Source organism: Homo sapiens, chromosome 11 (assembly GCF_000001405.40).
Source record: "Homo sapiens chromosome 11, GRCh38.p14 Primary Assembly".
NCBI classification, from domain to species: Eukaryota; Metazoa; Chordata; class Mammalia; order Primates; family Hominidae; genus Homo; species Homo sapiens.
This window is the reverse complement of record NC_000011.10, coordinates 107,413,538-107,438,116: the sequence shown is the minus strand read 5'-3', so window position 1 is coordinate 107,438,116 and position 24,579 is coordinate 107,413,538. Positions and strand designations below refer to the sequence as shown.

The 24,579-nt window shown below is 33.6% G+C and overlaps 1 protein-coding gene across 4 annotated transcripts in view; it reads left to right on the top strand.

The window, feature by feature from the left end:
* CWF19L2 (CWF19 like cell cycle control factor 2) overlaps positions 1–24,579 on the top strand; it is a 131,466-nt gene that overhangs the window by 19,709 nt on the left and 87,178 nt on the right. For 2 of the 4 annotated variants that reach the window (XR_007062452.1, NM_152434.3), the window contains exons 7-10: positions 4,368–4,483; positions 8,666–9,318; positions 19,830–19,923; positions 21,819–21,908. Coding sequence is in view for 3 of the 4 variants with exons in the window: in NM_152434.3 (NP_689647.2) it covers positions 4,368–4,483; positions 8,666–9,318; positions 19,830–19,923; positions 21,819–21,908 (953 nt within the window). In the remaining variant the exon portion in view is untranslated. Of the gene's footprint in view, positions 1–4,367; positions 4,484–8,665; positions 9,319–13,065; positions 13,345–19,829; positions 19,924–21,818; positions 21,909–24,579 lie in introns of those variants that run through there. The other 2 variants (XM_011542620.4, XM_047426419.1) reach the window with 2 other exon arrangements.

Below are 24,579 nucleotides of genomic sequence, written 5' to 3'. Positions count from 1 at the left end.
CTTCTGTATTTTATGTAGAGATGACAGTAGAGCCACCTTACATGTCCCTTCTTAATTTAGCAATTTTACTAAAGTTATTGGTAATAGTTAACAGTTTCTTTTTTTTTCTTTCAACTTCAGGCAGAAGTGTCCCTGCTGAGTTATGTAATAGTAACTATAGTCATACAAGGTTCTCTTTGAAATACTGTTTCATAGATAGTTTAGGGAACAATAAGTTAGCTCACTCAACTATTACTATGTAGGGCTGTTTTTATGATCTAGGCTTTTGCCATCCCTAATGTCAGAGGATGGTCCATAAATTTCTTTGAGGAAAACCTAGAATTGACAAACCCAATCTTTGGATCTTGCCAGTTGACAGGTTCTTTACTGAGTGGAGAAGATCCAGAGTTTTACTTTAGGTGGTATCTTTTAGCAGACTGAAACAGCAGAATCAAAGATACTAGGAGAAAATTATGCTTTTAGAGTGCCCTTCTCCCTTCCCCTTCATGTCATGCTTTTACCACTTCTTTTCCATCTTATGTTTATTCAGAAAGAGAAAAAATGACAGAAAGCTTCTGTCTTTCTGAGGCTAAGATCCCAGAGTTGAAATTAAGTTTTAAAAAATGATTGGCAGGTTTTACTGCATATGTAGATAGTGTTGTCATTCTATTTAGACCGATGGTAGGGGTGGAACTGTTAGGCATCTAAAAGTATTACAATATCTGTATTAAGGAGGTAGAGGTGACATAGTGTTATTGTTAAAGGACTAGACTTTGGAGTCAGTCTACTTGGGATTAGAATGTTGGCATTTCCACTAATTAGCTTCATAATTGTGGAGACATTTTCTGGCCTCTCAGAGCCCAATTTATTCATATGTAATAGGGAATAATGATATTACCTATCTTATATAGTTAATGTGAAGATTAAATTAGAAAATGTTTTAGCAGTGTCTGGATTATGGTGACTACTCAATAATGATGGTAATGTCAGATACTTGTATGATTAAATCTTTTGGGAAGGTTTTATCAACAGGTTTTTGTAATGATTGAAGGGACATATTTTCAATAATTACTGTGTTAATCTTGATTTTTTGTCTTAGAATTCAGTGGAAAAGTAGGTTAATCATTTTCAGAGCCCATACAAAATTATTTTGTCATATTTTAGTAATGGGAATATTTGTACAATTTTAGAGTTTATATGGCACAGTTATATATCAGCTTTTTTCTTGGCAACCATGTAAAGGACAGCAGTGTAGATAGTATTTTAATATTATAGCTCAATAAACCAAGGCTTAGAGTGGCCAGGTAATTTTTCTGGTAGTCGTGTTAGTAGTACTAGAACCCAGGTCTTCTGATTCCTAGTCCAGCATTAGTTACTCTAGATTCTTTAGTGGAAGACTATTTTTATTACCATGTAGTTAGTAGGAATTCTTGCTTACAGACTCCTTTGATGTGATTTTGTTCTTCCTATTGATTTCTTCCCCCTTTTTATTTTTTGGCTTTTTCTGCTAGAATGTGAGTTGAAAAGACTTTGAAAGGTGGTTTAAATTGGCTGCCTTATCTTAGAGATGAAGGAGCAAAGGTCCAAAGAAGTTAATGACATACATAAGATTTTACATATATTTAATAGTAGCAGCAAGACTAAAATCTAGGTTTCCTGATAGTTTATCACTATTTTTATGTTAGTCTGTTTTCTGAGAGAGTTGGGTAATATAGCCCAGATTCATTTGGTTGTATTAATATTTGGTCTATAACAGTGTAACTTTGAGTTATGATGGAAGCATATGATGGAAGTTTCTTCATTTTTTACTTATAAATAACAGATTTGAAATCTAGGTGTATGTTAAGTGCCACATATCAGTGAATTTATATAATTATTTGATATATCTTTTTCTCAGCATAGAGGACCTGAACCATGCTACATTCATGTTTGTACTTCCTATTGTACATTCATGGGTTTGTTTTTTTTTTTTTTGGGTCGGGGGGCGTGTGGAGTCTCGCTCTGTCACAAGGCTGGAGTGCAGTGGTGCAATCTCGGCTCACTGCAGCCTCTGCCTCCTGGGTTCAAGCGATTCTCCTGCCTCAGCCTCCCGAGTAGCTGGGACTACAGGTGCATGCCACCACACCCAGCTAATTTTTGTATTTTTAGTAGAGACAGGGTTTCACCATGTTGGCCAGGCTGGTCTTGATCTCTTGACCTCCTGATCTGCCCACCTTGGCCTCCCAAAGTGCTGGGATTACAGGCGTGAGCCGCTGCACCTGGCCTTGTACATTCATGTTTGTACTTCCTATTGTAGGAAGGTTTTTATATTCATAATAAATATTGACTAAATTTTTTTTTATTGAATTTTGGGATGGTACTGCAAGTTGGTATTTTTTATTCGCTTTTTAAATATTAAATTTGGTGATTTTTTTCTTACCAAAAAGACTTCATTATTGCCATCTCTAATTATAAGATTAATAGGACTATTGAGATAGAACATATTATCAACTAAAGGTGAAATCATTATATAAATATTTCTAAAATTGTATGGATTTAACTAGTGAAGGAATTGGCTGAAAATTTTTACTCCCATTGGATTTCCTTCATAAATGTTAACATAGAGGAATAGTCTTACTTTTTTCTCTGATTTTTTTTTTCTGAGCTATTATGTTTTAGTGATTGTTCAGGAAATTTTTACTATGTCCATCAGCATTTTATCAGTTTCACAGATAATTTTATGGAAGAAACAATTTTGTAGCTGAGACATTCATATAGGTATTTATTACTGTGGATTTCTTTTACTTACCGCTGTGTAGATTGCGGATTTAGACTAACTTCCTCAAGTGGTTGCATAGTTAATTTTGAACTCATGAACTATATAAATAACAACAAAAAAGCAAGAGTAAAATAAGCTTTTGAATAAAATGTGAAATCATTGCATTAGAGATCTAGGTTTTGAAGTACAAAATATTTTAGGCCTATAAAGAAAAGTCGTATTAGGAGAGATTGCTTAGTAAAGATAAACTTTTGAGATCTGAATGGGAGAATGGAATTAATTTGAGCCTTGAAAAATCTGTTTTTAAGTAAACTTTTTATTGAAATGTGACATATATAAAAATATTCAAAAATATTTAGTGAATATTTACTATGAATATAAAAACCTTCCTACAATAGCTTACATATATATTATATATGTACATAAATACACAAACCACAAGTGTACAGCAGCAGACTGATCATTTTCATAAAATGAAAACGTTTGTGTACTCAGCACACAGTTTGAAAAATCTTGTTAGTATCCCAGAAGCCCCCTTTGTGACCCTTCTAGTCACTACCTTGTCACCAGAAGGGTAACCATTATTCTGTTTTCTAGCACCAGAAATCAGTTTATCCTCCTTTGTTTCCAGCTCCTTTTGCCCACATTTTGAGATTCATCCATATTGTTGTATATAGTTGTAGTTTTTTCTTTTTTTTTTTTTTTTTGCTGTGTAATATTAAATAGTATATTTTAGGAATATATCACAATGTAGGTGTCCTGTGTACTGATGGTAGACATTTCCTAGGTTGTTTCCAGGCTGGGATTATTGCAGTGTTCTGCTATGAATATTCTTGTATATGTCTTGGGGTTAATGTGTGTGCATTTTTGTTGGTTATGGAGCTGGGGCGATCTTAAAGCAGTCATGTTCTGGGGCAAGGAAAATCAGGAACAGAATTTTTATTAAGTAATTGATTTGATTTCCTCTTTACACATATCCAAAGCGTGATGTGTAAAGAAGAAAATAAAGCCAGCTTAATAAATTAGTTGAAGGCTTTCAAATGTTCATGGTTGGTAATTATGACTAAAGTAAGATAATTTGTTTTAACATCCACTTTGGCATTATCTTCCATAGCCTCCTTATTTGTTCTTTGTTCTGCAGCTGAGGTAGCTTTTTTTCTCTCCCTTTCTCTGTGTGTCCTTTTATTCCTTAATTATTTCTTGGAATGTCCTCCCTACCCTTGCCTGTTTGAAATAGAAACCCAACTCATTTTCTTGAGCCTGGTTTGTGGAGTTTTCCCTGACCTCCTACTTTCTAGAGTCCATTATATCTTTTTATAGTAGCGGTCACATTATTTTTATTGTAATTAATTATGTCCTTTTATTCTTATTCTCTTAGATTGCAATTTTCTTATAGTTTTATTTTTCTTTTCCTTCTTTCTAGTGGCAAAACTCTGTGGCTTACATATAGGCACTGAAATATATATATATATATATATATATATATATATATATATATAAAATTCCAAAGGCACTTATATATTTAAAGAAAAATATTTATTTTTATATTTTAGAAGTCATAGAAGCAATACATATTAATTGTATGATAACCACATTAAAAGTATAACTAATATTTAATACTGGAATTTAGTTTCAGTGGTAGAAGATGGTGGATTAAGCTGGCTAAGGAAATCTTATCTAAGAATGAAGGAACAAGCTGAGAAACAAAGTAGAAACTTTGAGGACATTGTAGCCGAAAGATATGGGGTGAGTATCTGTTTTAAGGAGATGCCTCTTATTTTCAGAATTAGGTGAAAAATTAAGTGCCTTTAGCTTTGTTTTGTGCCATGAAGAATTGAATTAATATTTCATGTCTTTATACTACTGAAGTAATTTTCTGCTTTTCATTATTATTAAACATGTATCATATTTTTATTGACATAATGAATGTAAAGCTTAAGTATATAAAACTTAAATGTGGGTGTGTTTAATGTAAAAAAAATTTTCTTATTGTGAGAAAATTTAAACAATGCCGGAAAGTCTGCATGGTACACTTCTGGAGGTAACCACTGTTGAAATTTTTTATATTCCAGAGTTAGGTATATTCTAGAGTTTGGGTACTTTACGGATTTTTTTAAAAGAGTGTATATATACTCTTAAAACAATGAAACTGTGCAACAGTATATATTTTAGAACCAGTTTCCCCATCGTTCTGGACAATCTTTCTATTGCAGTAATTACTGATATTCTTTTTTTTCTCTTCAATTGCCGGGGGAAAGCAGGTTTAGAAAGTAGTAAGATTTCTGGAATATATTTTTCCAGATATTTTCCCCCAGAGTTTTAAAGTAGACTCGTAGAATATGCCCTGGCTTTTTAAACTTAATAATGTACACATAGTTGGATGCCAGTAAATATATACATTTTAATGACCTGTTAATTTTTTTAATATATTTATAGGCTTTTCCTTTATTTATTGGTCAGTAGATGACCATTTATATGCTTTTCCTTTCCCTTGTTAGATAGCACTGTGCTGACTGTCTATGCCCAATGCATTTTGCATATTTTTCTTGTTGGTGAATTACTAAAAGTGAAATTGCCTGTTTAAAGGATATAGACATTTAAAGCAAGGTACATATTGCCAGATTTCTCTACAGAAAGAATGAGCAAATCATACTTAAAAATATCTCTTTTATCACATAATTTTCAACAGTAAGATTAGTTCTTATAGTTCATGCTGTTGTGATTGGCAGAGTTTTTAAGTTTTGCTTTTGTTTTTATACATTTGTTTACTGGTGAATTGGAATTTTATTTTTATTTTGAGGTGGAGTCTTGCTCTGTCACCCAGGCTGGAGTGCGGTGGCACGATCTCAGCTCACTGCAACCTCTGCCTCCTCGGTTCAAGTGATTCTCTTGCCTCAGCCTCCCAAGTAGCTGGGACTGCAGGAGCACACCACCACGCCTGGCTAATTTTTGTATTTTTAGTTTTTAGTAGAGACAGGGTTTCACCATATTGGTCAGGCTGGTCTTGAACTCCTGACCTCGTGATCTGCCCACCTTGGCCTCCCACAGTGCTGGGATTACAGGCGTGAGCCACTGCGCCCAGCCGAATTGGAATTTTTTTACATTTATTTTGACCATTTGTATTTTTTAGTGAATTGACTATTGATATTGTTTTCCATTTTTCTTTTGGGATAATAATTTAAGACTTTTTAATAAATCTGTTCAGATTTCTCCCCCTCGGCTTGATGTTTTTTACTTCGTTGATAATTTGCTATGGATAAGTTTTAAATATTTTTACCTATCAAAATCCCTCATATTATTTTTTCATGAATTAGTGCTCTTGGTATAATTTATTGACAGGCCTTCCCCACCCCACAATCGTAAAAATATGCAGCTGTACTTACTTGAGTGCTTGTTCAGTTTTATTTTTTATGTTTTATCTTTAATTTTTCTGGAATATATATTTGTGCATGGTATGAAATAGGCATCAAACTTTGCATAAGTCTTATATAGTTGTTTGCTATATATTGAATGAATTATTTTTTCTCACTAATTTGAAATGACACATTTGTTATACATTAAATTTTCTCATATACATGGGTCTGTTCCTTTACTCTCGGATCTGTTTCATTGATTTTTCTATCTTTTCCTGGAATTTGTATCATACTTTTCTAATTATTGTGGTTTTCAGTAAATTATGCAGATAGCAAATAATAAACACCTACTATGTGGTAGTCACTATGTGATAAATCTCTTGTTAGTCACCAAAAAAATTAGCTTTGCTTTCTTATGTGTTTAGTTTTCTTAGTAAATTTAGTTTAAGCTCAATAGAAATAAATATTTTTCCAAAATTTGTTATAAATTTACGACTCTTTTTGGAGTTTTTATTTAAATTTAACTAAATGTATAGATAAATTAAGGACAACTAGTATCTTTATAATATAGAGTCATCCCATCCCAAAACACTATTTATTTATGCTCTTCAGTATTTTTCTCTGTGCAGTTATTATGCATATGCCATTGAGGTTATTTTTATTTTTTTATATTATAAATTGAATTTTAAAAATGTTTTCTGACTTGGTGTTGGTGCTGGTCGGCCAATTCTTTAAACTTTTATTATCCTAATTTTAAAAATTTTGGGTTATGTGGAAAGGTAGTTATATGCAAATAATTATTTTGTTTTTTTCCTCTCTGTTAATACTTAAACTTTCTTTTCTTCTTGAAATAGTTATAATTTTAGAACTTTGATAACAGGATTGGAAGCTGGTATTGCCTTTTTGTCTAAAGACAAAATAATGACTTTTGCATTTAAGATTAAGAGTATCATGTTTAAGTATCCTTATATTCAAAGTTGAGTAAAAGGTACTTTTTTGTTTTTTTTTAATTTTATTTTTTTATTTTTTATGTTGTATATGTTTAAGGTATGTATTCCATGACGTTTTGATATGCATGGGGAAATAATTACTAGAGTTAAGCAAACTAGTGTATCATTTATCTTACGTAGTTATTCTCCTTTTTTTTTTGTGGTAAAAATACCTAAAATCTACTCTCTTAGCAAATTTTCAGTATATAATGTGATATTATTAACTGTAGTCCTCATACTGTACATCGTATCTCCAGGCTTAGTTATCTTACATAATGGAAACTTCTGACTCTTTGACCTCCATCTTCTCATCCCCTCTCCTTCCAGTAACCACCTTCCTACTTTCTGTTTCTATGTATGATGCATCTTTTCCTTGAAAATTGTTTTAAAGTTTGCAACTACAAGAACAGTTATTTAGACTTGACCATTGCATTTGACATTTGGTTTTTAGCATCTGTTCTTTTTTTCAGAGATCTTTGCCCGAATTCATTGATGGTGTGTCTTAATCATCTTGAGTAATTTTTTTCCCTCAGAATTGCTAGTGATATGCCCTCTGATTCCCTGCATTTTTGAAAATGATTTTCTTTGGCCCATACCAAGGAAGGATAATTTGACTGTGAATTGAATTCTCTATATAGAATTATAGCTTAATTTTGTTTTCAAAATTTAATCTTCATTCTATTATTTACTTATTATTATGGATGAACAGCTGTAAGTCTGTCTTTCCTTTGTGGATAATTTGTTATTTATCTACCCCTATCCATATACAGGCTCACACTTATTCACTCCTTCCCTGATCTAGTCCTTGTAAAGGTTTTTTTTTTTTTCCTTGAGTTTTGAGATTCAGGTATTAGGGTTTTTTTCTGTGTTTTTCTTCTTTCTCCCCCACCCAAGGCTATTGGATGAGTCCTTCTGAGAAATCGGCTGGGGAAATTTTCTTATATATTTTTAAAATTAATGCTCTATTCCCATCATCTTTGCTCCATCTTTCTGGAAGTACTAATAAATGCATATTAGATTTTCTAGAATCAATTGTTCATGTATCTTTTTTTCTTATAACTTACATTTATTTACTACCTTTTCCTAAAATATAGAGAATTCCCAGGTTAATTTAGTTTTCAGCACTGTCTTTTCTTCCTTTTGGTGTATCTTGGCAGCTTTTTGGGACACACAATTTTTTATTTCCAAGTCTTTCTTGTTCTTGAACTATTCTGTTTTTTTTTTTTTTTTTGGTGAGAATCTGTTTTAGCAATTTAACCTCTTGAATCTCACAACCAGTAGGAATTAAGTATTTTTTGCAAAGTTTGTCTCTACTGTTTTCTGTGTTATACTTTGTGTTAGTGCAGAGTGTTTGGTGTAACTGGCTATCCTTTTGGAATCTTTTTGTTATTTAATAATTTTTAATTGTTTACACATTTTTAGAAAGTATTCGTTTCCGTATAGGATGATTGTATGGGTCTTCTTTCACCCCGTTAGTGGGCTTTTCAGTGTGCCACTTGGCAGTGAGTCATACAGTGACATGTGGGGTGCAAGTCACTGAGCCGTTCCTAATTTTAGATATCTTGTTTAATTTTTCTCCTTTGTAGTCAATGGAAATATTTCAGTCAAAATTAGAAGATGCTGAAAAAGCTGCATCCACGAAAGAAGATTATAGACGGGAACGGTGGAGGAAACCCACATATTCAGATAAAGCACAAAATTGTCAAGAAAGTAGAGAATCAGACTTAGTAAAATATGGTAACAGTTCAAGGGATAGATATGCTACAACAGATACTGCAAAAAATAGCAATAATGAAAAATTTATTGGTGATGAAAAAGATAAGAGACCTGGGTCTTTAGAAACGTGTAGAAGAGAATCTAACCCAAGGCAAAATCAAGAGTTTTCTTTTGGCAATTTGAGAGCTAAATTCTTGAGACCCTCTGATGATGAAGAACTGTCATTTCACAGCAAGGGCAGAAAATTTGAACCACTTAGTTCATCTTCAGCATTGGTAGCTCAGGGCTCTTTGTGTAGTGGTTTTAGAAAACCCACCAAGAACAGTGAAGAAAGATTAACATCATGGAGTCGCTCTGATGGGAGAGGAGACAAGAAACATTCAAATCAAAAGCCATCGGAAACCAGTACTGATGAACACCAACATGTTCCAGAAGACCCAAGAGAAAAATCACAAGATGAAGTCTTGAGAGATGACCCTCCAAAAAAAGAACATCTACGGGATACAAAGTCTACATTTGCTGGGTATTTTATCATTTTTTAACCTAATAAGTTAAGATCCAGAGAGTTCAAAGAACAGAACTGTATTTTTAGAACATCAGTTATTAGCTGTGACTATGATCTCACATTTCTTAAAATTGATAGAAGGGGTAAGATATGCAGATTTAACAGGCAGTATTGTGGTATGGATTGCATTTTATTTCATAGGTTTTTTTTTTTTTAAGAGCTGAAAGCAGTAGCTATATTTGTTCAAAATATGTTGCTGCTTTGCAATTTAAAAAACTGAATGAGTTAATGTTTTAAATGTATGTGCTGCAGGAGATATTTTGGTAGATTTTGTTACCAATGCCATTACTTTCTAAGGAAATTATCTTATTGTTGAGTATAATCATAATCATAAATACTGCATGTCTATAGGAAGTCTAGGAGACAAAAGGAAAACACGCTGCCACGGCCCAAATATAAAGTGACAAATACATGCCAGAGATCTTGCAGAGGGGAGCATGAATTATGGTTGTTATTTTGCACAAAGAAAGAAATAATCCACTTTGGGCAATTGACAGATTTTAAAGATAATATTAGAGTTTTAAATATAAAATATATGTTGCATTTATGTAGGGCTGGGTTAGAAGATGAGGAAACCCAGGTTGAATGGGACTAAACCTAAGAAAATTTGCTTTAGAAATTTGCTGGCCCTGTTGGAGATAGCCAGAAAAAAAAGTGTCCAAAGGGTAACAACTTACACGTGAATGATCATTAAAATATGTTTAAAAATAGCACCAAATGAGTGGGACACTAAAGGAAGAGGTTTTAGGAAATAATAGAAACACATGGTTGTAGTAGATAAAAGCACTGTGGTTTGGGGTTGTGAGTCTGATAAATCACTTTTGTTAATGACTCCATCTGAAGCAGTGGATTATAAAACTCAGTGTGTAATTTTCGGTGGGAGGGAGCTGGCAAAATCTGAACTGAGTGATTAAGCCCCAGTCAAATGGACTCTGGTTCACATCAGGGCTTTCCTCCCAGGAAGTGGAAGGAGAAATCCAATTGTATTGACTAAACAAACATGGCAGGGATTATTGTCTAAGGCTGTATGCATATGTAATTGTCCAGTCTTCACTCCAGGTGCCCTGGGTGGTAGACTATTTCCAGTTCCCAGTCACTAGGGGAATGAGGCTCTTATTTCCTGATATCATTAGGATTGGGTTAGCATTTGGATGATCTGTAGGCCTTCTTCTGTGACTGTAGCTAAGCAAAATGTCTGCAAAGTAATACCACACGATTAGTATTCCAACCGGTTGTCTGATTGCTGCATATTTGTATGTCTTATTTAAGTTGTAAGCTTCTGATAGATACACTATAATACAGGCACTCACTAAAAGCTGTGTATGTATATAATTTTTCGGTTTGAAGACAGCACTCACTAAAAGCTATATATGTGTGTATATATATGTATGTATACATGTAATTTTTCCTTTGAAGACAGTATTCTTTGTTCGCTGTGTTAATTTGATGGTACAGAGGGTTTGAGGCTTTCTATGAATTCTGTGACTGGCTGGAGAGGGAAAGAAAAATCTAGGAATCATCCAAAAAAAAAGATTCCTGAGAATGTAGAGTGGTTGTAAAGTAGGAGACCAAGACAGGACCTTGAAGAATGCCTAGTTGTTACAAATAATCTTTGTCTTATAAGTGAATGGTCATGATTGGAAAAATTAGTTGAATTAGTTTTTACTTCTTTGTATGTATTGTTCATATATCTTTACCTTTCTTGTTATTTACACCAGTATTATTTTTTAGAACATGCCATTTGTAATCTTAATAAATGTATATGTATAAAATTTAAACAATATAGACAGAAGAGTATAAAACAAGAATATGAAGCATAGGTGAGTATAAAATGAAAAAGTAAATCTCCCTTTCATGTCACTTCCAACCCTAATCCTATTTGCCAGGTTAACAGTGTTGGTAGTGTCTTTCCAAATTTTTTAGTGTATTTGAAAATGTGTAATATATATATTTAACTTAATGTATAAAATTTTATAAAAACATAACTTATATATTTAATATATGTAAGTTAAATAGCTCTACAATGCATATACCATTCAAAATCTTGGTTTTTTTTCCCAATAAGTATATCTTAAAGATCTTTTTACTTTAGCCCATATGTACCTACATTTTTTTATTTTAAAGGCTCTTTAATACTCCATTGTAAAACTTAGGCATAACCTAATATTTTTCACTGGTTTCCTATTGATGGAATTTTAGGTTGTTTCCACTTTGTTGCTCTAAGAAACAATTCCGCATTTAATTTTTTGTGAGTATCTTTGCATGCTATTTAAATATAGCTGTAAAATAAATTCCAAGGAGTGGAACTGTCAGGTCAAAGAGTACATGCATTTTACTTTTTACATATTTTGCAGTATTAACCAATTTAGACTTTTATATTGCATTGGAATGACTTTTCTCCTACTTCTTGCTGATAGTATTATTGAACTTTTTAAATCTTTGCCATATGTGTAGTTGAGAAACAGACTCTTTGATTTTTATTTTTTTAAATATGAGTGAAGTTTGCCATATTTTTATGTGTTGTTTATTTGTATTTTTTTGTTAACTAGTCATATGTTTTGCCCTTTTTTTGAGCTATTGTTTGTTTGTGAGAGCTCTTTATATTTGTCATGTAATACAAATAGATTTTTCATCATTTGTAAATTTCCTTTCATTTTTCATTCTTTCTTTAATGTGTTCAAATTTATCACTCTTTTTCTTTATTCATTTTAGGCCCTGCGATTATGTTAACTAGCAGAAAAACGTCCACTGCCATGCAATTGAGAACCTTGAGCTTTTTATTATTAGAAATGAAATGTGCTTTTGCATATATTTTTCTTGTGTTAGAAAATATATTGGCTAAGTATTTCCAGGAATTTAAAACTTAGAGGAGTATGTAATGTGAACAAAAATTAATGAGAAGTCCTTAATTTTGGTTTTACAAATTTAATATCAGAAACTAACCCATTTTATATAATATTTTAACCTTTGGATGTCATTCTTGGCAGAGTTTGTTACTGTAGCCCAGAAGGGCAAGCAAAGGATGCTAGATTCTGAAGGCTTTGAGTATAGTTGTGAGATCTTTAAGCAAGGAAGCAAATATGAGAGCAGCTGGTAAATAAGGGAGATCTGTGAACACTGCCAGCACAAGAATAATAAAATTATATGTGGCTTAACAGTGGGGATATATTCTGAGAAATTGTCATTAGGCAGATTCATTATTAGGTGATGTCATTGTGTGGACAGCGTAGTGTGTACTTAAGCTTAGTGCATACCTACACTATATGGTACAGCCTGTTGCCTCTAGGCTGCAAAGTAGAACATGTTACTGTATTGAGCATTGTTGGCAATTGTAACACAATGATAAGTATTTGTGTATCTAAACATAACATAGAAAAGGTCCAGTAATAATACAGCATTATAATCTTACGGGATTACTGTCATGTGGTCTGTCGTTGAGTGAAACGTCGTTATGCTATGCATGACTAATTTCAGGTTTTAAAAATGTTACTGGGCTAGAGCTCTTTTAGTTACTTATTTCTCAAAGGTTTTCAACCTCTTTGTGTGTGTGTGTGTGTGTGTGTGTGTGTGTGTGTGTTTCAAAGAGAGTACATTTTAATGTGAAAATAGGATTTGCTTTTTAGAAATTAATTATAAAAAGGACTTCTGAAATATAGCAGTAATTCTTGAAATTGAGACATGTTTGGGCTTTTTTTCTTTTTGCAGGATAATTGCAGGTGTCATGGTGATGTTTCTTTCAAAGCATTTGCTCATCATTATAAACACTTGGGGAAAGAAAGGAAGAGCCCATTCCCTGATGTTTGCTGTAGAACAGTGTCTTTGCTGTGGTGTTCACAAAATAAAATAGAATAATATTTTCTTCAGTTACTTTGTGCTCAACAACTTTCATTTAAATGTCTTTACTTGACACCTATTACTGTTACATTGTGTTCAAGTAACTTAATGTTGAAATTACTACTATAAAAGATGTTCAGAATTCTTGTATATTTTTGTCATTTATCCTCATCTACTAATAAACAATTTAATTCTTGTTAGAAAATACTAAAAAAATTGTGTGGAGCATTCCATTTCATGACAATGGAAATCACCTCTTTTAAAGATCTATTGAGATTCTAGTTATCTTCTGGAACTCGTGGGCTTTAGATGCACTTCAGCCTACCTTCATTGCCCTTCCTTGATTGAATATCTAAACTTTTATCCTGGGAAGTGAGGGGAAGAGGAAAGTAAAATGACAAAGATGTGCGCTTTGGATGGATAATAACAAACTTCTTTGGCTACTTAATCCGGGCTTTTTTTTTTTTATTATAAAAGGGTGTATAGAAGCCAGATTTTAGTAGACTAAATTATTAAGAGTTATGGAATGGTAGAGATAGAAAGTGTATTTATACTAGAACATGTTTATATTTAATGGAAAAGAGTCAGTATCCTTTTTAGAAGAAGCAAGACAGCTAGGCAGATGATAGATGGGGCAACTGAGCAAGATCCCTGAGGTTAGTATGGGTGAGTGTGGGGTCCATTTCAGTTATAAAAGTAGAAGGATTAGCTTTGGGTGGAGATAGTTAAAAAAAAAAAAGAGGGAAATGTGGCTACAGATTGTGGGTGACAAGGGAGAAATTTGAGGAATTATTTCTTAATGACTTAATGCCAGTATTTTTTTGACATATGATTCCCAGAATATTGGTGATCCCCTTGATCTATATATGGAGAGTCAGTTATGATTGGTATTGGTATTATAAAGAAACAACTTCTAGTTCTTCATGAGAAGCTCACATTAGAAACTGAGAATTTGATTAGTACCCTGTTTTTAGGTATTTATACTTTTTTTTTTTGCTCATATATATTAGTAGGTATCTATTGTCATATTGACATTTGATGTAGTCGTTTGTGTTAATAATCCTCAAACATTTCTCCTCAAGAGAAGGAGATGGATTGATGGATGGCTTGGTCTTTAATTCTTCTGATCCTGTCAGACTTAAGGTTGCTTGCAAGATGACTTATTTCTGGATATGGAGCTCAATAGGAGATTATGTGTGGACTTGTTCTACATCTGGTTTATAGTAAGCATCTATTGGAATAACAGAAAGGATTGTAGAAATACTGCGTAAATAGCTTCGTTATCCTAAAGAACCTTTCTTTGGTTCTTTGGTTTCTTAGTTGGCCGATGTTGAGATGAGAAATGGAGGAACTAGACATAACTTTAGTTGGAAAGAAAAACCTGGTCAGGTACAAATGGCAGAAGGAAAAGAAGCCAAGAAGTTTCTCACTTAGGAAACAAGAATTTGAGAGACAGACCCTGGAGAAAGCGACTTCATAGGGGAATAATTGCACTGGTGCTCTTTAGAAAGGGCATGAACTGTGGTTATTTAATTTGTGTTATACATACATGTAAAAATGTAATATCTATAATTCCACATAATAAACATAAACATAAGTTTTTAAAGCAGGGAATTTTGGAAAATTGAATGTGAAAGAATGCAAATTGAGGAAAGTTGTTTTGGTTAGTAAGTAAAAGAGAGATATGATTAGTTTGCCAGAAATTCTGGTAAATTACATTTGCAATACAATGAAAATGACATGTACCTTAGCATTTAATTTGAAAAAGTACTGAAAAATATTTTCCATACAAAAAAGTACAACTAATAAAACAAGCAATAACTCAGCCCACGGATGCATATAAAAAGTAATAACATTCTCCTGCTTACATGAATGCAGTGTCCCTACTGTTCATTTTCATTGTTTTTTAAAATGACTGAAATAATATGAGGGGAATGAAAATATGTTACTTTCTAGTGTTGCTTTACCTCAAATATTTTAGATTTCTTAAACACCAGAGTATTGCCTTTCCTTTCAACAATGTGGGAAGAAATGGCTACTATACATTTTCTGTAGAGATTTTTTTTTATTCCAATGCTATCTGTCTGTTAAAAGATTCCCCTCCCAGAAGAATTCACTATTTAAAAATAATTTCCATATATTGTTGGTAGGTCATGTTTTGATTTGGAAAACCAAATTTGTAGAAAATATGATTAAGGTTAATTTTTATAGAGTATTATAGAATCTGGGAATTCAGGAAAACTAATAATACCAGATATATCCTTTATATTTAAGATTATGACAAATTAGTTATACTCTGGTTTTAAAATGTATTACTCCCTTTGAGGGTTAAAAAAACTTTGAGGTATAATTGACATATAATAAACTGCAAATATACAAAAGTGTACATTTTGGTATATTTTGAAATGCATATGTTCTCATTAAACCATCACCCCCCTGAAAGCCTTTGTGCCCTTTTATAATCTCTCTCTCCTGCTTTCCCACACCCCTGCTCTCCACTCCTAGGCAACCACATCTGCTTTCTTTCATTATAGACTACAGTTGTCCCTTGGAATTCGTGGGAGTTGGTTCTAGGACCACTCAAGTATTCCAAAGTCGCACATACTCAAGTTGGAACCCACATGTATGAAAATGTTACTCTGGTATATGTAGTTTTTACATCACATGAATGCTGCATTTTTGATTGACGTTTGGGTGAAAAAAATCTGTGTATAAGTGGACCTGGGCAGTTCACCCCTGTGTTGTTCAAGGGTCAACCGTAGTTTGCATCTTCTAGAGTTCGATGTAAATGGGATCATACATTATGCACTCTTTTTGGTCTGTCTTCTTTCACTCAGAGTAATTATTGTGAGCTTCATTTATGTTGTTGCATATGTCAGTAGTTCATTCCTTTTTATTGATGGGTAATATACTATTGGTGGGTACATCACAATTTGTTTTTCCATTCTCCTGTTGGTGAATTTGAGATTGTTTCCACGTTTTGGCTATTATAAATTATGTACAATTCTGAACATTCAGGTACAAATCTTTGTGTTGACATATGCTTTCCTTTCTCTTGGATAAATATACCTAGGAGAGCAGTAGCTAAATCATATGGTAACTGTATGTTTAAATACTAAGAAACTGCTAAACTGTTTTCCAAAGTGATTGTACCATTTTACATGATCACCAACAGTGTATAAGAGTTTCAGTTTCTCCACATCCTTGTAAAAACTTGGAATGGTCAGTCTTGTAAATTTTAGCTCTTCTAGCGGATGTGTAGTGGTAGCTCATTGTGGTTTTAATTTGTATTCCCCTAATGGCTAATGACTACTGATGCCGAACATCTCTCTATGTGCTTATTTGCCATCTGGATATCTTTTTGTAAAGTGCTTACAACGTGTAGTGCTGTTACCTCTCTACTAGTAATTTAGATCTCTTTTTTATCAGGCAGGCTATAGGTTTATCAATTTTATTGCCTTAAATATCAGCGTTTGGTTTCACTGAATTTATTGTTTTTCTATTTTCTATTTATTTTACTCTGATTTTTATTGTTTTTTGAATTTTTTAAACTTTGTTTTAATTTGCTCTTTTTCTGCTTTCTTAAGGTGTAAGATGAGGTGATTGATTTGAGATCTTTTCTAATATAAATATTTAGTGCTATGAATTTCCCCCTGAATTAGCAGCATTCCATCAGTTCAGACATGTGTCATATAATTTTCCTTTGGTCTTATTTTTGACCCATGGGTTATTTACAGTTGCGCTATTTAGTTTCCAAGTATTATAGTTGAGGATTTTCCAGAGACTTTTGTTAATGATTTCTAATTAATTTCATTGTGATAAAAGAACATAGTTTATACAACTTGAATTCCTTTAAATTTATGAGACTGTTTGTATAGCTTAGAACATGGTGTATCTCAGGAAATATTTTGTATGCACTTGGAAAGAATGTGTCTTCTATTCTTGTTGGGTGGTGTGTTCTATGGATGTCCATTTGGGCATGTTAGTTGATAGTATTATTCAGGTCTTCCTTATGCTTGCTGATTCTGTTTACAGTAGTCCCCCTTTATCCATGGTTTTGCTTTCTGAGGTTTCAGTTACCCATGATCAACCATGCTCTGAAAATATTACAGTATTCTGCAAGAGATACCACCGTCACATAACTTTTATTACAGTATATTGTTGTAATTGTACTATTTTGTTATTGGTTGTTGTTGTTAGTGTCTTACTATACCTTATTTATAAGTCAAACTTTAACATAGGTATGTATATATAGGAAAAAAAATACTACAGATAAGGTTTGGTACTATCCAAGATTTCAGGCTTCCACTGAGGGTCTTGGAACATAACTCCTGCAGATAAGGGGGGGGACTATTATATTTATCCTATCAAATATTGAGAGAGAGGTATTGAAATTTATAGCTATAATTGTGGATTTGTTTATTTCTCTTCTGTCAGTTTTTGCTCATGTATTCAAACGCTCTTGCTGGATTGACTCCTTTTTCATATGAAATGACGTTCTTTGTCCCTGGTAATATTGTTTTCCTCTGTAATCTTGTTTGTTTGATATTAATGTAGCCACTTCAACTTTCTTTTGACTAGCATTAACATGGTATATCTTTTTCTATCCTTTTATGTTTAACATACGTATGTCTGTGTATTTATAGAACATTTCTTGTAGTTGAATTTTGCTTTTATATCCATCTGATAATTTCTGCCTTTTAATTTAGGTATTTGGACCATTTATATATAATGTTGTTGATATAATTAGGTTCAAATATGTAACTTTGCTATTCGTTTTCTATTTTTCCCATCTGTTCTTTTTTCACTTTGTCCTCTTTTTCTTACTTGTTTTGGATTATTTTTATGATTCCATTTCATTTCCTTGGTTGCTATATATTTTTTTTTAAATAGTGGTTGCTTTGTCTTTGATGGTGTACTATACCTTTAACTTATCATAGTCTATCTTCAAGTGATATGCTATTCCTGAATGGTGTAAGAACTTTATCATTGTTTATTTATATTTCTCCCTTTCTTTCCTTTCTGTTAGTGTTCTCATACATTTTACTTATACTTGTTATAAACCTCAAATATATTTTAAAAATAGTTATCTTCCGTTACATGTATGGTGGGATACTTAAGGTTGTCCCACAGCCCTCTGATGCTCTTTTCATTTTTACAGATTCTTTTCTCTGTTTCATTTTTCATATTGCTTCAAGTTCACCAAACTCTACTTCTGCAGCTTAATTTTCCATTAATCTTACCCATATATTTTTTATCTCACACATTGTAGTTTTCATCTGTAAAAGTTTATTTTGGATCTTTTTTATATCTTTGTTGTGTCTGACTTTTTGAACCTATGGAACACAGTTATAATAATCACTTTTAGTATCCTTGTCTGCTGTTTTTTACATCTGTGTCAGTTCTGGGTTGATTTTGACTGATAGCATTTTGTTCTAATTATGGGTTGTGTTTTTCTACTTATTTGCCTGTCTGATCATCATTGATTAGATACTAAGTTTTACAGACTACCTTGTTGAGTGCTAGACATTTTTGAATTTCTATAAATATTCCTGAGCTTTGTTCTGGAATATTTATATTGTTCTGATTAATTGGAAAACATTTGATCCTTTTAACTTTTGTTTTAACATTTTTTAGGTGGGCCCAGAGCAGCATTTAGTCTAGGGCATGCTGTTTCCCACTAATGAAGCAAGACTCTTTAATACTGTGTCTAGTGCTTTTTGAATTACGTGATTTCCTAGTCTAGCTAGTGGGACTGGATAAGCAGTTCCCAGGAATGCCAGGTACTCTACCTCCAATCCTCTGGGCTAGTTCTTTCCCTGACTGCAGGTGGTTTCTTGCTGAGTACTCAAGGGGAACCCTCTGCAGTTCTCTGGGATTTTCTTATGGTGCAGCTTTCGCTTCTTTGGTACTCTGTTCTGTGAATTCTAGCTGCCTTGGAATTCTTGGACTCCTGGCTATGTCTCCTTTACTCAGAAATCCTTCAGACTCTGACTGAGGTCACTGTCCTGCACTGTAGCCTTGAATTATTTCTTAAGGCAGTAAGCTAGGGAAATCTGACCTTGGCTGGAGGTTTCTTTTTTTGTGTGAGGCTTCCATAGTATAGGTTTGGCACATGATACCAGTTTTAAACTAGTTTATATTATTTGACTATATGTTATGTTCTGGACTGACTTTACAAAAAAGCACACGATCAATGCTTTTATTCTTTGAATGCAGTTAGATATATATATCATTTTATAGTTTCTTAGATTATTAACAACTTATGTCGAATGAGAAGAGTTTCCAAAGATGTATAGAATTATGGCCTGGTTCGAACGTTTTTTGTTTGTTTCCTTTTTAAAGTTACGAGTATGGGGATATTAAATAAGAAGAGTTGATAAGTACTATTTATCTCATTGTTATTGGGATTTTGATCAGTTATTATAACTGCCATAGGTGGTTGTGGCATTGTAACAGAGAACTTTATCAATTTGTGGAAAAATATTGAGTTTAATTTACATGTATTACAATCATGATCTGCTATTGGTACTGAATGCTTTGTTGAGGTCAGTTAAAATAACATTTGAGTCTTGATGTTATTGCTTGCATCGCACCTATATTTCATATGCTGTTAATCTTTCCTATTCCAATAGCAGTCCAGAGCGTGAGTCCATTCACATCCTGAGTGTTGATGAGAAGAACAAGTTGGGAGCCAAGATTATCAAAGCAGAGATGATGGGGAATATGGTAAGACTCTTAGATGTTGCTTTAGAGAATAATGATTAAATGTTTAACTTCTTATGAGTAATTTTAGAAGTTCCTTAGCAGTGTGGATATAGCACACTGTGAAAATAACTGTTGGTTATTGATTCCTTAAAGAAATTCTCAGGCCTGGCACCATGCCTGTAATCCCAGCACTTTGGGAGGCCAAGGCAGGCGGATCACTTGAGGTCAGGAGTTCGAGACCAGCCTGGCCAAAATGGTGAAACCCTGTCTCTAGTAAAAATACAAAAATTAGCTGGGTGTGGTGGCGCATGCCTGTAATTCCAGCTATCGGGGTGGCTGAGGCAGGAGAATCGCTTGAACCTGGGAGGCGGAGATTGCAGTGAGCCAAGATCACGCCATTGCAGCACTCCAGCCTGGGTGACGAAGCGAGACTGTGTCTCAAAAAAAAAAAAAAAATTCTCGAACCTTTCTGTGAAGAATACTATCTACTTCTAAATAAATGATCTACTTTCTCTGTCAGATCTCTGAAATTGAAGATACTAAGGAACTTCATGCTTTTAAATTTCTTTTTTACTTGGCTATTTACTTTATTCCTGCATTTGTAACTCATTGAGCATATTTAAGGGAGATAAAGATGTCACTTTTTCTACCTCATTTTTGTCATATATTTGTAAGAATGTTTTTTACTTTTCCAAATTACTTAGGAACCTAAAAAGGAGGATTAAGTCATTTATTCAAGTTTTAAGTAAATGTGCTGTGCCTGATACTGTGTTAGATGCTTTGTGTAGGCTTACTCATTTAATTCCTGTAGTAATGTTTGATTTAAGACTAATTTACCTCAGAATTGTAAGAAATAGGGATGATTTGGTAAGAGCTGCATTTATCCATTCATCCATTCACTTATTGTCACATGCATATTAAAATAATATACAGTGAGATGTATATATTTAAGTGCACATGGCAGAATAGCACAGCCAGATATTCCACATCTTGATAGAATAGATTCAGTCATGGTCATATGTATGCACTCATCTCAAACCCAAATATAAGGGATCTTTAAGTAGTCTTATGTTTTGGTAAACTATTAGTACAATACTGTAGTAGAACAAATGGTAACCAAACAAGATATTTCTGTGTTATGTCTAATAAAGGGCATATCTTGCATATGCTGCTCTATCTCTTTGAATCTGATCCTTGGAAACACTGAACTTCCACTCGTCCTAGAAATTGGTAAGGGAAGTAAACCAACAACAGTAACGATAGCAAGAAAGTAAAGTTTGAGCTTTGAAAGTACAGAGGAATTAGTTAAAATAGTGAAAGAGAGGTCATCTAGGTAAAAGGGTGAAATATGTGTTCTTGTGTTCAAGAAGAACACTGTGGTGGTGCTTGCTATTCTTTGCATGTCACATAAATCTACTTATTTAATGTATTACTTCATGGTTTATTGCTTTATATGGCAGTTGTTTTATATAAATTTCTATAAGTTTCCTAGAGTAAAAATGAAATATCTTCGGAATTTTCATCTAAATTATCAACAATAAAGAAGGTAACAGTTTAAATCTTGTGATAGCTTTTTTGTTACCAATAACCGAAGTTGAAAGTATTGAACTTTTGTAATATTTAGTAATTATTAAAATGTCATTAAGGTTATGTATTTCCTTCATCTATCTCTTCCAAAATATATGTCCTTATAATTATTTATCTTTGAAGCATGTCACAGGTATTCAAGAAGTTTGTAACTGAGATAAGTTCATTAAAAAGTAGTATACTAGGCTATGGGTTGGTAATTGAAATTAGATGAAGGCTACATGAGTGTTGGTTATGCTGTTTTTCCTTCTGTTGTGTAAATTTGAACATTTTGTCGTAAAGAATTAAACTACATATCGCACATATTTTACTTGTTTTTCTTTTTGAAGGAATTAGCTGAACAACTTAAAGTTCAACTTGAAAAGGCAAATAAATTCAAAGAAACTATAACACAGATACCAAAAAAATCTGGGGTAGAGGTAAGTAATAAAAGTTTGGAGAATGTAATTACCTTGTGTAAACTACCACCGGGCAGTGGTAATATTTTATTTTATTTTATTTTATTTTTTATTTTATTTTATCTATTTTTTTGAGATAGTGTCTTGCTCTGTCGCCCAGGCTGCAGGGCAGTGGCATGATCTTGGCTCACTGCAACCTCTGCCTCCCACGTTCAAGCAATTCTTGTGCCTCAGCCTCCTGAGTAGCTGGTACTACAGGTGTGCGCCACCATGCCTGGCTAATTTTTGTATTTTTAGTAGAAATGGGTTTCACCATGTTGGCCAGGCTGGTCTCAAACTCCTGACCTCAAATGATCCACCCGCCTCAACCTCCAAAAGTGCTGAGATTACAGATGCGAGTTACTGTGCCCAGCTGGCAGTGGTAATATTTTAATGTGAGATGTGTCTGTATATGTGTCTGTGTGTTTATGTGTATGCATGCTTGTTTTAAAAAATTTAGTTTTCTATATATTCTCTTACATTCTATCAGTGTGCTCTGGTGGAAAAAAGCCTCGGGCTGAGACCAAGGAGTCTTGCTTTTATTCTGGACTGTGCTGCTTACTGATTGCTTCTGTATGAGTCAAACTGCTTCTTAACTGTCTCCTTCAGAATGAGAGACTTGAATTAGTTATTCATTTCATATAAAACAAATTACTTTGGTCTATGATTAATTCATCTATCTGTTAGTGAACAAAACAAATAAAAACACCTACCTGCATGGAACTTTCATTTGGGTAGGGAGGGAAACAATAAATTATAAAAATGATAAGCAAATTAAAAAATAATACAGTGTATCAGAAAGTTACCCTATGGCAGGGTAGTGGCAATTTTGAGTGACAGGTGGGTTGGTGGCTTGGAATGCACAGGCCAATTCTGTTGAAAAAGTGTAAGGACTTTATGTAAGGACTTGTAGTTAATGGAAGAGTGAATTTCTGTGTATTTGAGTGAAGAGCGCAGTAGTCATAGGGAACAGAGATTTAAAGGCCCAAAGATGGAAATATGTCTGATGTGTAGGAAGAATAGCAACGAGACTGGTGTTGCTGGAGTGGAATAAATGAGAGAGGGAAGTAGGAGATACAGGTTAGAGAGACTATAGGTGGCCAGATCATGTTAAGCTTTGAAAGTCATGGTAAGGAGGTGGACTTTTTTTTCTGACTGAGGTGGTGAGAAACTATTACATGGTTTTAAGCAGAAAACATATTTTGACAGGACCATTCTGGATTCTCTATTAAGAACGGTTTGCAGAAGCTGAAGTAGAGGTGGGCTTTTGTAATAATGCAGATAAGAAATGATAGTGGCTTTGACCAAGACAGATAGTAGCTATGGAGATGGTTAGAAGTGATTGCATTTTGTATTTGTATAAATACTTTATGTATATATTTTGAAAGAAAAACTGACAGGATTTTTATGGTGGTTTAGGTGGGGGGTGGGTAATGGGCTAAAGAGAGGAGGCAAAGAGGACTCCAAGGTTTTTAGCTTGAGCAGCTGAAAGAATAGCCATTAATTGAGTTGTGGAAGAAAAAGGAAGAATAGGTTTTGGGGCAAATCAGAGGTTCTGTTTTGGATATATTGAGAGTTTGGATGCCTGTTAGATGTGGAATAAGTGGAGATGTCAAGTAGGCAGTTGGATGGTTGGGAGTAGGGAGAAGATAGAATTGGGTAGTTGGGAAAAAGTCCTCTGTGCTGGAGATAGAAATTTGGGAGTTATTAACATGTAAGTGATATTTAAATCTATGATACTGCATAAAATAATCACAGGCATAAATGTAGTTAGAAGTTGAACAGCTGAGTTCAACTTCTGCATTACAGATTTAGATGTATATGAATAACTCTAGCTGGGTGTGGTGGTGTGCTCCTGTAGTCCCAGCTACTTGGGAGGCTGAGGTGGAGGATTGTTTGAGGCCAGGAGGTCCAGGCTGCAGTGAGCCATGATTGCACCACTGTACTCCAGCCTAGATGACAGAGTGAGACCCTGTCTCTAAAAAAAGAATAAATAAATAAATAAAAACACTAAAAACAAAATCCTCCCCTTTCCCCCAAAATAACTCATGCAATTTTCACAGTATCCTTTGAGGTAGTCCATGTCATTATTACAGTTTTATAGATCAAGAAACTGAGGCACAGAGGGCTAAGTAACTTGTCCAGGTATACAACTGGTAAGTGCAGGGCAAGGATGTAAACCCACAAAAGTACTTGTTTTTACATGATACCTCTTTTTGATGCTGAAGGACAAAGTCAGCTGCTCTTTTGGAGAATCAGGTTTGGGATATAATGAAGTTTAAAACTGGTTTTAAAGGTCTGTTCTCAAAGATTAATTTACATAATTTACTGTCAGTGTGGGAGGAGATGAGAATGTCAACTTCCCTAGAATTTTCTTCAGGCTAACATCATTCATGACTTAGATAACATTATAAAGAGTGTGTTTATGAAAATGGCTGTTTACACTAAGTTGTGGTACCTAATATTTTTAAAAAGTTTCTTGCACAGATTAAAGAATGGAGAGTGAGAAATTACTAGTAGGATTAAAAAGCAGGGACTGGGACGATAGCTAGAACTAGGTGTACTGTGAAGTCTATCTTACACACTTTTGCCAAATTATTGTTTTCAGGTGTCCTTGTGGTTAGCTGATTTTGTACTCTGAAACTTGAAGTGG